Here is a 14,923-nt window from a genome sequence, read left to right on the forward strand (position 1 = left end):
TGGACAATAAAAGACACCAACCCTAAGATTACAAAAATGTTAGAATTATCTAAAAAGGATTTTAACATAGCCATCATAAAAATATTTCAGCAAATGCTAATAATTATGAACAGTATTGAAATAGATGAAAAAATAGAAAGTCTGGGCAAAGAAGTAAAGTTCCAGGGAAAAAAATAGGTGATATAAAGGGAAGCCAAATGAAAATTACAGATGCAAAAAATACAACAACAAATTCTAAAAAAAAAAAAAAATCAGCAAATGGACTGCCTTGCACCTCTCTTGTTAAACTTATTCCTGGTCATTTAATTCTTTTTTTTTTTCCTTGCAATCACAATGGAACTGGGTTTTTAATTTTATTTTTGCATTATTCATTGCTAGTGTATAGAAGTACAACTGATTTTTCTGTATTAATCTAGTATTCTATAACCTTGGTGAACTCATTTATAGGTCAGTGCCAAAGTAATGGCAAAAACCGCAACTACTCTTGCACCAACCTAATATTAGCTCTAATAGGCCTTTTGTAGATTTTTAGGGGTTTCCGTATATAGGGTCATGTCATCTGCAAATAGATATACTTCACTTCTTGTTTTCCAAACAGTATCCCACTCCATCCCCCACCTTTTAAAAAATCTTGCCTAATTGGCCTGGCTGGAATTTCAAATACACTGTTTAATAGAAGTAGGGAGAACAGACATTCTTGTCTTGTTCCTGATCTTAGGGAAAAACTTTTTCACCATTAAGTATGCTGTTAGCTGTGGGTTTTTCATACATGACCTTTATTGATTCAAAGTAGTTTCTTTCTATTACTAGGGGGTTTTTTTGTTTTGTTTTTTGTTTTTAGTGTTTTTTTGCTTGTTTGTTTGGTTTTTTCTTTTTTTTTTTTGAGACGGAGTCTCGCTCTGTCGCCCAGGCTGGAGTGCAGTGGTGTGATCTCGGCTCACTGCAAGCTCCGCCTCCTGGGTTCATGCCATTCTCCTGCCTCAGCTTTTTAATCATATAAAGGTGTTAGATTTTGTCAATTGCTTTGTCTGCATGTATTGAGATTATCAAAAGCTTTTCTCCCTTATGGTGCATTACCTTGATTTTCATTTGTTGAACCAAACCTACATTCCTGAGATAAATCCCACTTGAACGACATGTAAATTTCTTTTTTATATGCTGCTGGGTTCAGCTTACTAGCATTTTACTGAGGATTTTTGCATCTACACTCTCAAGAGATAATGATCTATAGTATTTTCTTGTGAATTTTTTGTCTGGCTTTGGTATCAAAGCCTCAAAAACTGAGTTAATAACTATTTCCTTCTCTTCTACTTGTTGCTGTTATTGTTATTGTTAGGATTTGTGAAGAATTTGTGTTACCTCTTTAAGCATTTGGTAGAATTCACCAGTGAAGCCATCTGGTGGCTTCTTTTTTGTAACACATTTTTTGATTACCAACTCAATTTTGTTACTTGTTATAGTTATATTTACATTATCTATTTTTAGTCAGTTTTGCTTGTTTCATTTTCTATTTCTCCCTCCACATCTGCTCTAATCTTTATTGTTTCCTTCCTTTGCTGGTTTTGAATTCAGTTTGCTCTTCTTGCTCTAGTTTCATAAGGTGGAAGATTAAGTTATTGGTTTGAGATTCTTCTTTTTATTGACTATATCTATATATATTTATGATGTGCAATGTGGTGTTTTGATATGTGTATATATTGTGGAGTAATTAAATCAGGCTGATTAACATATCTATCCCTTCACACATTTATTATTTTTTGTATGTGTAGGTGATATACTTAAAAATCTATTCTCTTAGGAATTTTAAATTTATACACTGTATTATTAACTATAGTCACTATGTTGCACGATAGATCTCGGGAACTTATTGCTCCTGTTCAACTGAAAGTTTGTACCCTTTGACCAACGTCACTCTATTTCCTTTTTCCTCCATCCTCAATCCCCTAGTAAACACCATTCTAATCTCTACATTTTCATTTCTCTACCCCCTCCACATATAATGCTATTGATATCAGTTTACATCTTTTACACATTATTTCCATGACCAAATTTTTGTAGTTATAGTAATTTTTAATACTTAAAAAATCTTTTACACTGGATCAAGTCTAATTTATGTGCCACCTTTACAGTATTTAGCATATCCTAAATTTGACTATATTCTTACCTTTATACTGAGTTTTGTACTTTTATGTTTTCATGTTATTAGCATTATTTTGTTTCAACTGAAATAACTCCCTTTATCATTACACGTAAGGCAGGTGTCGTGGTGGGTGAACTCCCAAAGCTTTTTTATATGGTTACTAAAGTCATTTAGATGTTCTACAATGTTTTCTTTTAAAACACTGTATTTTGCACTTTGGGAGACCAAGGTGGGAGGGTTGCTTGAGTCCTGGAGTTTGAGGCCAGCCATGGCAATACAGTGAGACTTCATTTCTACAAAAACTTTAAAAATTAGACAAGCATGGTGGTACATATCTACAGTCTCAGCTACTTGCTACTCAGGAAACTGAGGTGGGAGAATCACATGAGCCCAGGAGGCAGAGGTTGCAGTGAGCTGAGTTTGCACCACTGCATGCCAGCCTGGATGACAGAGCAAGAGCTTATCTCAAAAAAACAAACAAACAAACAAACAAAAAAGCTGTGTTTTATCTTCACATTTAAATCTTCAGTGCATTTGAAATAGGTTTTTGTCTCCAGTCTTAGGTAGGGGTCAATATATAATATATAATTTTTCCACATGGATATTCAATTGACACAGCATCTTTTATTGGAAAGATCATTTTTCTCTAATCTGATACACTGTTTTATTTGTATATATATATATCTATCTATATATATATATATCAGGTGACTATATTTGTGTGTCTTTTTCTGAATCACTATTGTATTGTATTTTCTTATCCTTAAATCAATATCACATTGTATTACTTTAGCTTTATATCTGGAACAGAGGTAAGTCTTATGTTCGTTATCTTGGCTTTTTCAGAATCAGCTTGTCAATTTTCACAATTAAAAATTTTTTAAAAACTGGTTGAATTTTGATTAGGTTTGTACTGAATCGAAAAATTAGCTTGGAGAGAACTGACATCTTTATGCCTTTCCCTGTGTATGAATATGTTATATCTTTCCATTTATTTAAGTCTTTAATTTTCTCAGAAATATTTTGCAGGTTTTAGTGGAGAAGTCTTATAAATCTTTTAATGTATTTTTTTGTACAGATACTTTTATTTCTTTTTATTTTGGAGATGAGCTGTTGTAAATGCTATATTCAAGTGTTTGTCTTCTATGAGCTTATTGAAGATATATAGAAAAACAATGCTTTTTTTTAAAGATACTATTTTTTAGAACAGTTTTAGGTTTATAGAAAAATGGAAAAGATAGTACAGCATTCTTATGTACTCCCTTCTCTAGTTTTTTTTCTATTATTGACATCATACCTTAGCATGATACGTTTCTTAAAATTAATAGACCAAATTCGATACATTTTTCATAACTAAAGTTCACAGTCCATTCTGATTTCCTTAGTTTTTACCTAATGTCTTTTTCTATACCAGAGTGCCAACCAGAATATCGCATTGCATTTACTTGTCATGTCTACTTAGGCTTCCCTTGGCTCTGATAATTTCTCAGAATTTCCTTGTTTTTGATGACTTTGACTATTTTGAGGAGTCAAGTATTTTGTAGAATTACCCTCTCTCAGAGCCTGTCTGATGTTTTTCTCATTATTAGACTGGGGTTATGGGTTGGCAGAAAGTCCACAGAGGTAAGGTACCATTTTCATCACATCTTGTCAAGTGTGTGCACTGTCAATTCTTATGTTTGCATAGATACACTTATAATACAGTTAGATTTTCAGGTTAAAGTCTGCACTCCTTGGAATTCCTAAATTTCTTTTTCTCATATCTTAAGGTAGAAGCTTATTGATTTAAATCTTTCATCTTTTCTAATATATGCATTTAGTGCTATATATTTTTCCTCTGAACACTGCTTTTACTGCATCTTACAAATTTTGATAAGTAGTATTTTTATTTTCATTTAGTTAAAATATTTTTAGGGTTTTTTTTGAGATTTCCTATTTAACCCATATGTTATTTAGAAATATATTGTTTAATATCCAAATATTTGGGGACTTTCCATTTATCTTTTTGTTATTTCTAGTTTAATCCCATTGTGGTCTGAGAACACATTTTGTATGTTAAAGTGTTGTTTTAACTCCCAGAATGAGTTCTAGGTTGGTTAACGTCCTGTGTGAATTTGAAAAGAATAAATATTCTGGTGTTTTTGGATAAAGTGATCTTAATGATATTAAGTTGATTGATAGTGTTTTCAGGTCAATTACATCCTTCCTGATCTCTTGGCAGCTTGATCTATTAAGGGATGTTGAAGTCTCTGGCTACAATAGATTTGTCTGTTTTTCCTTGTGGTTCTATCAGTTTTTGCCTCACATATTTTTAACATCTACTGTTAGGCACATACATATTAAAAATTATTGTCTTCTTAGAGAATTAACCCCTTTATTGTTACATGATGCCCTCTTCTATCCCTGAAAATTTTTCTTGTTTTGAAATCTGCTTTGTCTAAAGTTAATATAGCTACTGCAACTCTCTTTTGATTAGTGTTAACATGGTATTTTTTTTGGCTCCTTTACTTTAAATTTATCTGTGTCTTTATATACAGTCATTCCTTGGTATCCATGGGAGATTGGTTGCCTTCTCCCCAGTACTCTACACTACTGTAGAGATGAGGGCTCAAGTCACTTATATAAAATGGTGTAGTATTTGCATATGACCTACATACATTCTATCATATACTTTGTTTTAAACATTTTTTATAACATTAATATTTATTGCTTTATATGAATACTGTATTGAAAGCCCAAGCATTCCATTTACTCACAGAAACTGTACAATTATATATTACTTCATAAATGCAATGAACACATTACAGTCTACAAAATCAGAAATTACAGAAGTTTAAAAATTCTGAGTATCAAATAATACAGATGAAGAAATAGACATAAATATGGCAGCCCATAATTTTGACAAAGAAATTGTAGCCTCCCTGACTTTAAATATGTGAATTTGAAAATACTGAGTTTGGAGTAATCATTGTGCTTTGTGTTGGTCTAAAAAATATAACACTGGCTGTCAAATCAGCATGTCTGAAAATATTTAATTCACTTCCAAATGTCATACAAATTATTGTGGCTTCTATGTACCCTAAGGCTTCAGTCATTTAGCTCAGGTACATTACTAAAAGTAATATATCAATTCTTCCAGTACAGTGATGTTTCACATCATTCACATTTGCATACTCTGGAATAAAATAGAAAGTAATGTGTTATATTCAAAATATTCAGAAAAGCAAGCAAAAGGTCAAGGAAACTGCTGGTTATTCTGAAATAATCTTGTGTTGAGGTGAGAAATTAAAGAAAAATAAAATTAAAAAGAGAAAAAAGTTTTCCTGTTTTAGGCTAACTTGTCCAAGAGGCAGCAACAGGCACAGCCCAGACCTAGGAAAAGTCTTGATAATATTATCTAATGTGCTCTGGAGACTCTCCCAGCACCCCCTCAACACAGGGAGAAGAAAAACAAATTTTCCTTTGCTTTATGGAATGAGTTTATAGATTCTTGTTGTCTGTAACTAGTGATTTTAAGTATTCTGTTTTATCTAAGAAGTACAAAAAAAGTCATGAGAAGCCTGAGTAGGCCTGAACTACAGCTGCCTGGGCCCCACAGTGAAGGTTATAGGATAAGCCCCTGCACAGGCAAACCTAGATAAGGAACATCTGGGTTGCTTGGCAACGGTCATATGCAATCCTGTCTTTGTCCTGCCTCTGGATCCCTCCTTTCATGCCACTGTAAGCTTGCTTCAAGCTAGCCCACCCCGTTTTGTGAAGTGTGTATGAAAGTCAGGTGCTGTCTTTGTTCTGGGCCCAGCCTTTTGGACATGAGTCAGCTGGGCCTGAGTGCACTCAATAAAGATTCTCCTGTTTCAACCCAAGGTCTCTCTCGTCCTCCTGAATCCCGCAACATTTCTGGTGAGTCAGCCAGGAGGCCGTGGAGAGGACAGGTTGGCTGTCTCCTTTGCCTGTAGGTGGTCTGGGGCCCCAGCAGTGGGAGACCTGTAACTTCAGGCACCACTGGAAGAACTTAAGCCCAGAGAAGGAAACGGCTCTTCCACTCCCCAGCGCCCCTCCCCAGATGGTGCATCAGAACCTGGAGGGTTGCAGGACAATCTCAAGAGCAGCAGGCAGACATCTGAACCGTGGTAAGGTTTTGGGGCCCAAGGCAGGGAAGCCCGTCCCCTAAGGACAAAGGGGAGCTTGATCACTTCCCAGGGAATGACCACTAATCCAACCCAGAGCGGTTGGGGGCGGCAGGAGAGTCTTGCCCATTTGGATGAACCTCTTGTCCCCACTAACAAAGTGAAAGTGGTTCACTGGATCTGGAGACAGGAACTGGAAAAGGGGAGGAAATGGGCCAATAGAGCGGCAAGTGCAGCAAGGTAGAGATTGCTGGCAGGGTGGCAAGAGTGGCTTGCCACCCCAACTGGGAGTGTGTGGGTGCATGTGAACCCACCCGGGACACGAGAGACACTTGTTTCATCTGATGAGGAGTCCCGGGGCAGGGGAGGTTTGTGAAAGTGTGTGAAAGAGACGGTTCCGGGAGAAACCAATGTGAGGAGTGACATGCAGGGGGCTGCAGGTCTCTTAGTAGAGGCTGTATGCTCCGAGCAACATATAGGACCAACTGGGTCTGATCAGCCTAAAAGGAAAGGAAAAGGGAGTGTGCTGAGCCTTGAAGGGAGAAAGGGAAGACTGAATGTGATGCATTGTTACTGGGAGGAAATGGGAGGAAAATCCTCAAAACCCACCCCCTTGGAATGCATGCTAAAGAACTTTAAAAAAGGCGTTGCGGGAGATTAAGGAGTCAAGTTAACCCCTCAGATGCTGAAAACTCTCTGTGAATTAGAATAGCCCTCTTTTAGTGTGGCTGCCTGGCCCAAGGCACTATAGATAAAGAAATTGGCCATGTGTTTTAAGGTGGTGACTAGGGTGGGAGGACAGCCAGGACATTCAGACAAAGACTTTATATTTACTCATGGCTAAATAGATGCAGCCCTGCCTAGCAGTTTATTGCAGAATGCTCGCAGCTCAAGCCAAGAGAAATCAGCTGCGCTGGCAGCTACAGAGTTAAAAGGAAAGTCACAGGGGCTTGTAGCACAGCCGAGCCAAAAGTGAAGGTAAAAATCAGCTGCCCTGGCAGCTATAGAGACAAAAGAAAAGTCTCAGGAAAGGCAAAAAAATTGGTTTTGCAAGAATAACGGGACAATCTACCCCCCCTTTACCAAGCCTAACTGCCCCTAAGAAGTTAAGTTCAAACCAATACATGTTCCCAGTCTCACCCGAGAAGGAGAAATCAGAGCTCCAGGAAGTTAAAGTGAAAGATTTGAAAAGTCAGGCAGGCTATCTCAGGTCTGTCCGTGCCCAAGTTATGCTTATACCTCTTAAGAGGACAAGTGGACCCCCACTAGGACCCAGATGATGCAGTCCAGCTTCTGTGCCTGCAAAGATGCAGAGAAGCACTTCTGCAAAGGCTAAAAGATGGTAGAAGAGAAAGGCAATCAATATAGAAAAAATCTCAGAGGTGCTCCAGGGTACAGATAAAAGCACCAGCCAGTTTTATAAAAGACTTTGTGACGCATTTTGGTTGTACACTCCATTTAACCCCGAGGCTGCTGAAAATCAGCGCATGGTGAATATGGCGTTTGTAAGGCAAGCCCAGGGAGATATCAGGCAAAAATTGCGGAAGTTAGAAGCTCCGCAGGCGTCAATGCCACTCAGCTTATTAAAGTGGCTACCAAGGTGTACATTAACCGAGATCAGGAGGCAAAAAAGGAGGCTGATCATTAAGAAAGGCTAATTTGCTAGCAGCAGCCCTTAGAGGAAGAGAAGCTGACTTTGCAAGGAGGCTTGGACGCGGGCATGAACGTAGTCGTGGAAGAGGCTATTCTGGACAAGAATTTGAAGGCCTGCCGAGGCTAAAGAGAGATTAATGTGCACGGTGCAAAAGGAAAGGACACTGAAAAGATGAATGTCAAAAGAATAAGGAAAATGGTTAGGGCGATGGTATAAGAAAATCACCAGCCAAGGGCTACTGCACCCAGGAGGAACCCAAGACCTTCTGCACCTGCTGTAAAAGGCAGGATATAAAGTGTCAGGAAAAAAGACTCAAATCTGCTCTAAAAGTGTCCAGTATTTAAGCTTTTACATAAGCCAAGAGAAAAGATGGCTTAGTAGTGAACAAAAGCAGGCTGTTTATGCACTTCCTACTCCAACCACCAGGCATCAGATAAAAAAGTTCCTAGGGGCAGCAAGGTTCTGCCGCATTTAGATCCCAAATTTCTTGCTCATGGATAAGCCATTATACGAAGCCACAAAGGGGAGGAAAGAAGGAGCCCCTTCTCTGGAAGGCCAACCAGGAAAAGGCTTTTAAGGAAATAAAAAAAAAAGCCTTGACTCAGGCCCCAGCTTTAGGGTTACCAGATCTAACTAACTAAGCTTTTCTTCTTGTATGCCCACAAGTGAAAGGGACGCCATAAAGGTTCTAACTCAAGCCATAAGGTCATGGCATCACCCGGTGACATACTTATCCAGCAATTAGATTCTGTGGCACTTTGATGACCTCTTTGTTTTAAAGCACTAGCTGCCACTGCCCTACTGGCGCAGGAAGCTAATAAACTGACTTTAGAGACTGTGAATACCCTAAAGGAGCTCCTAAAGGAGCAAGGAGCTACCTTGCTCCTTCCTCATCAAGTCAGTGCCAGGAGGCCCCCTTCATTGCTGTATGGACGTGGTAGATGAAGTGTTCTCAAGCCGGAGAGATTTGACAGATCAGCCCCTCAGGGACCCGGACATTGAATATTTTACTAATGGAAGCAGTTTCATACTAAAGGGAGTCTGCCAAGCTAGATATGCAGTGGTAACTTTGAACTCAGTAGTAGAGGTGCAGTCTTTGCCTACAAGAACTTCTGCTTAGAAAGCAAAGCTAATAGCTCTCTGGCTAGCAAAAGACCAGAAGGCAAATATTTACGCAGATTCCAAATATGCTTCTGCCACTTTGCATGTTCATGAGTCTATTTACAAAGAAAAAAGAAGACTTTTAGCTGCTGGAAGTAAAGAAATAAAGTACAAGGAAGAAATTCTACAGCTCTTAAATGCTGTATAGGCCCCCAAAAAGGTAGCAGTAATGCATTGCAAAGGGCACCAAAAAGCAAGAACACTGAAGGCTAAAGAAAACAGAAAGGCAGACAAAGAGGCAAAGCAGGCTGCAGTGACAACTCCACCTTGTAAAGAAGCCTTAGCTATACCTTTCCTCCTGGAGATTCCCTTCCCAGAGATCCCAAGCTACACTCCAAATGAAAGGGCTTGGTTTGCCCAGGAAAATAGAAACTACATTGAAGGAGAATGGTAAAAAATCTCCAATGTGAGGCTAGCCATACCTGAAATGGTGGCCCCTAGATTTGTAAAACAGTTCCACCAAGGAACTCACATTGGAAAAAAAAAAAAAAAAAAAAAAAAAAACCAGCACTGAAGACATTATTAGGGCATCATTTTCTGTGTGCCATGGCTCATTGCTATTACTCAAGTCATTTATAAACAAACAGTGTTTAACTTGTGTTCAGAACAATCCACGACAAGGGCCTACGCAGCCCCTGGGAGTTCAGAAAACAGGAGCCATACCCTGTGAAAAACTGCTCATGGACTTCACCGAATTGCCCTGAGAGGGGGGCTATCAGTACATGTTGCTGTTCATTTGCACCTTTTCAGGATAGGTCAAGACCTTCCCCACCCAGACAGAGAAGGCACTAGAGGTGACCAACATGTTGTTAAGAAACATTATTCCCAGATTTAGACTGCCTCTAACTCTAGAATCAGACAATGGACCAACATTTGTGGCTGAAATAGTTCAGAACTTAACTCGATTATTAAAAACAAAGTGGAAATTATATACAGCCTATAGGCTGCAGAGCTCAGGTAAAGTGGAGTGCATGAACTGGATACTCAAACAGCTGCTGAAGAAATTTTGCCAAGAAACTCATCTAAGTTAAGATCAGGTCTTGCCCATGGTCCTCCTCCGAGTAAGGTGCACCCCTACCAAACAAACTAGGTATTTGCCCTGTGAGATTTTGTTCACCCAGCCACCCCCCATCATAAGTCAGATTAAAAGTGATTTCTGTAAACTAGGAAAACTAACTTTAAAAAGGCAAATGCAGTCTTTAGGTATGACCATGCAAAAAGTTCATGGCTAGGTATAGAAAAAATGCCTATAAGTCTGACAGACCCCCAATACACCCTTTTAAAACTAGGAACCTTAGTTAAGTTAAAAAATAAAATCCAACCACTCTAGGACTCATATAGGATAGGCCCCATTCTATAATCTTGTCTACTCCCACTTATGTTAAAGTTTCAGGAATCATGCCTTGGATTCACCACAGTCGGCTAAAACCAGCAGCCCAGGATCAGTGGATCAGTCAATAAGACCCAGACCGTCCAACCCGGCCAATCCTGCGACAAGACCACGTAACTAGTAGAAATAACAGCAGCCCTGCTGTGGCCACTCCGGAGGCTGGCCAGTCTATGCACGGCAGAAGCTTGAGGAAAACTGTAAGCCCTGCTCTAGTCACACAACTGGAAACTGACTAGTCTACGCATGGCCAAAGCTTGAGGAGTCATCATCAAATGAGTAGATGTGAATACAAATTTTACGTTTAATTACTATCTTAGTATTACTAGTTGTTTTATTACTATGCTATCATTATTGCCAATCTGTCTGTCCAAGGGAGAACTCTTTCTGTCCATGTTTAGTATAAGAATATTACTTTTTGCCTTGGCTTCATTTGCACCTAAGTCTATACAAAAAGAAAAGCACATAGATAGTTGCCATCAGTGCGTGCACACTACATAAATAAGAAACACAGTAGTTAAGACTTTATTGTACCATACATACTATGAATACACAGAAACCCCTCTGGAGACTTGTATGTACAACCAAACCACCTATTCATTCTGTGACCCGAGGAATAGCCAGTCTTATGTATGCTAGAACCCTAAGCTTTTATCTAGGACCTGGTTTAAGATTTGAACTGGGTCAAGGAAAGGAAGTCTCTTAAACCAGACCAAAGTGTCTCTCCCACGAAGAAGTCAGATCTTTATATTTTAATGTTTGCCGGATAACATCCTTAGGCTCACTCTTTCCCATAATCCACAGTTCCACAGAGTACTATAGTATCTGTTTGCACAGTTGGCTAAAAACATAGCTAGACAAACTACCACTCAGCTAATGGCTTTGTGTAAATATCAACCTTTGCTCAAAGAAGAAAACTTGTCTCTTCATGGAAAATTAAGTAATATTGAGGCCTTCTAGTAAACTCTTTTATAAAAGGCCTCAAAGCGGGGAATGAAGCGGGAAATTAAAAAAAATAATAAAATTAAAAGAAAGAGAAATAAGTTTTCCTGTTTTAGGCTAACTTGTCCCAGATGCAGCAACAGGCACAGCCCAGACTCAGGAAAAGTCTTGATAATATTATCTAATGTGCTCTGGAGACTCTCCCAGCACTCCCTCAACACAGGGAGAAGAAAAACAAATTTTCCTTTGTTTTATTGAATGAGTATATAGATTCTTGTTCTCTTAACTAGTGACTTCAAGTATTCTGTTTTATTTAAGAAGTACAACAAAGGTCATGAAAAACCTGAGTAGGCCTGAACTAGAGGTGCCTGGGCACCACAGTGAAGGTTATAGCATAAGCCCGTGCACAGGCAAACCTAGATAAAGAACATCTGGGTTGCTTGGCAACGGTCGTATGCAATCCTGTCCTTGTCCTGCCTCTGGATCCCTGCTTTCATGCCACTGTAAGCTTGCTTCAAGCTAGTCCACCCCGTTTTGTGAAGTTTGTATAAAGTCAGGTGCTGTCTTTGTTCCGGGCCCAGTCTTTTGGACATGAGTCAGCTGGGCCTGAGTGCACTCAATAAAGATTCTCCTGTTTCAACCCCAGGTCTTTCTCATCCTCCTGAATCCTGCAACAGTGTTAGCTTCATAAGTATTTATTTTACAAAATAGTAAGCTAATGTTTGAACACAATTTCCAAGATAAACCACATTTTCTCATAAATAATGTAGTCTTTTTATCAAGCACCTCAAGGTATAAAAAATAATTTTAGTTTGAACAGATCTCTTGGAATGTGTTTAACCTTGTATTTCAACAGACTTAAGATTTCCAGGGTTTCACAAGGGCCAGATTTTTTTTGAATTACTCAGAAGAGAAAGAAAATGTCTTCTGAAAGAGGTGAACTCAATCATTACGAATAGAAAAATATCCACCGTATTTATCTCTTATAGAAACAGAGAAGGATAACATTTCCCTCCTTCAAATTATATATATATGTTATATAATATTATATATATAATTTAATATAATAATATATTAATTACATATTTCTATATAATTATAATAATATAATATATTATATATATTATACATAGCTCAAACTTCATTGTTTGTGGTCAAATAATAAAATCTGGAAGCCAGCATGAAACCCTATAATTCACATGTTAAAATGTTGAAACTATGACCAAAATATGAAACTCCTAGAGCTATCAGAAAGAGACAAGACAAAAAGTTTTATTGTATGTGTATAAACTAAAAGTGATAATCTCAAAAATCTTTCAAAATTATAATTATTACCTTCCAATATAAAAACTAGTTCTAAATTTTAGAAAATCTATACACAAATTACTGATTTGCTCAGACCAACAAAAAGTCAGCAGTAACCAGAACCCAGAGGAGCTGATACTCACAGTTCTTACATGTACGACTTTTTAGAAATCATCTATAAAATACTTTATTTTACAACCTGCTTCTCCTGTAAAACTAAAGGTCCATTTAATTATATAAAAGTTGTATACAGTGTTAAAACCAGAGCTGTATTTAAAATACTGCATCACAATGTTTCTAAATAGTCAGTCTTGTTCCATTGATTCATCTGTGACTTCAGTGGCTTTGCCATAATTTTCCATGGATGGTTCTGAGAGAATCTGTAAATCATTTCTAGATTACTTATAATACCTAATACAATGTAAATGCTATGTAATGTTGTGATACTGTATTGTTAGGGAATAATGACAAGAAAAAAAAGTCTGTGCCTGTTCAGTACAGACACAACTAACCATTTTGTTCCCAAATATTTTTTATCTACTGCTAGTTGAATCCAGAGATGTAGAACTCATGGATATGGAGGGCTGACTGCATGTAGTGAATGTCTTGTAGACAGCATAAGATTTTTTTGAAAAAATGTAGTCTGGGCTGGGTGTGGTGGCTCACGCCTATAATCCTAGCACTTTGAGAAGCCAAGATGGGCAGGTCACCTGAGGTCAGGAGTTCAAGACCAGCCTGGCCAACATGGTCAAACCCCGTCTCTACTAAAAATACAAAAATTAGCTGGGTGTGGTGGCACGTGCCTGTAGTCCCAGCTACTCAGGAGGCTGAGGCAGGAGAATCGCTTGAATCCAGGAGTTGGAGGTTGCAGGGAGCTGAGATTGCGCCACTGCACTCCAGCCTGGGCGACAGAGTGAGACTGTGTCTCAAAAAAAAAAACAAAAAAAAACAGAAAGAAAATAAATAAAGAATGTAGTCTGGCAATTACTTTTAATTGGTATACTTAGACCATTCATTAGAAGGTGATCATTGATATAGTTGGATTAATATCTGCTATGTTTATAACTGTTTTGTTGTTTACCCTTGCAATTTGCTTCTTTTTCATACTTTCCCTAGCTTCTCTAGTTTTAATTAAGTATTTTATATGATTCAATTTTCTCTCCTCTCTTTGCACACCCATTAGACTTCTTTTTAAAAACATTTTAGTGGCTTTCCTAGAGCTTGCAAGATACATTTACAACTAATTGTAATCTACTTTAAAATAACACTATACAATTTCATGAGCATTGTGGGTACTTTATAACAGAGTATTCCCAGTTTCTCCCTCCTATCTTTTATAATATTTTTGCCATTTATTTTATTTATCCATATGCTATAATTACACAGTGTTTTGTCACTGTTATTACTTTGAACAATTAGATCAAGTATGTAAAAAATAAAATATCTTGTTTTACCTTTATTTATTCTTTTCTGATGCTTTTACTTTTTTATGTAGATTGAAGTTTTCTATCTATATTATTTTTGCTCTATCAAAACAGCTTCTTTTATACACACACACACACATTTTGGCACAGCAAGTCTGTAGGTCTGCTGTCAATGAATTATTTGTCTGAGAAAGTCTTTATCCTTCACTTTTAAATGAGAATTTTAGGTTGGTGGATTTTTTTTTCTTTAAACACTTTAAATATTTTACCCCACTCTCCCCATGCTTGAATTGGTTTGATGAGAAATTCATTGCAACTCTTATTCTTTTTTCCTCTATAGGTAAGATTTATTTCCTCTCTCTTATTTCAAGATTTTCTCTGTCTGTTTTTCTGAAGTTTGAACATAATGTAGATTTTTTTTTTTGGTGTTTATTCTGCTTGATGTTATCTCAGATTTCAGAGTCTGTGATTTCATGTTTGCCATTAATTTTGGAAAGTTCTCAGCCATTATTCAAATATTTCTTCTCCTTAATTCTCTCTCCTCCTTCTGGTATTCCAATCGTGCATAAAAATTATTTGAAAATAATTTTCTCACCATTTTTGGATATTTTATTTTTCCCCCTTTATATTTTACTTCGGGAAATTTCTATTGAAATATCTAGAAGATATCTAGAAATATCTAGAAGCCACTAATTCTTCCCTTGGCCATGTGCAATTTATTGATGAGCCCATCAAAGACTTTCTTCAATTTGTTACTCTGTTGTGATTATCATTATTACTATC

General features: G+C 37.5%; 1 long non-coding RNA gene across 1 annotated transcript in view, besides 1 other annotated feature; it reads left to right on the forward strand.

Annotated features, from left to right (window-relative positions):
* Positions 5,681–6,553: an enhancer, noted in NCBI's record as "H3K27ac-H3K4me1 hESC enhancer chr3:112020972-112021844 (GRCh37/hg19 assembly coordinates)". NCBI's record gives its function as "activates a minimal SCP1, AML or CMV promoter by ChIP-STARR-seq in naive H9 embryonic stem cells {active_cell/tissue: H9 hESC(naive)}" and the evidence as "EXISTENCE:reporter gene assay evidence [ECO:0000049][PMID:30033119]".
* The window catches only part of LOC105374042 (uncharacterized), a 30,277-nt gene continuing 21,387 nt past the window's right edge, over positions 6,034–14,923 (forward strand). The window contains exon 1 of the long non-coding RNA NR_147411.1: positions 6,034–6,270. This is a non-coding gene — a long non-coding RNA (uncharacterized LOC105374042). The remainder of the gene's footprint in view (positions 6,271–14,923) is intronic.

Source organism: Homo sapiens, chromosome 3 (genome assembly GCF_000001405.40).
Source record: "Homo sapiens chromosome 3, GRCh38.p14 Primary Assembly".
In the NCBI taxonomy this organism is placed as follows: Eukaryota; Metazoa; Chordata; class Mammalia; order Primates; family Hominidae; genus Homo; species Homo sapiens.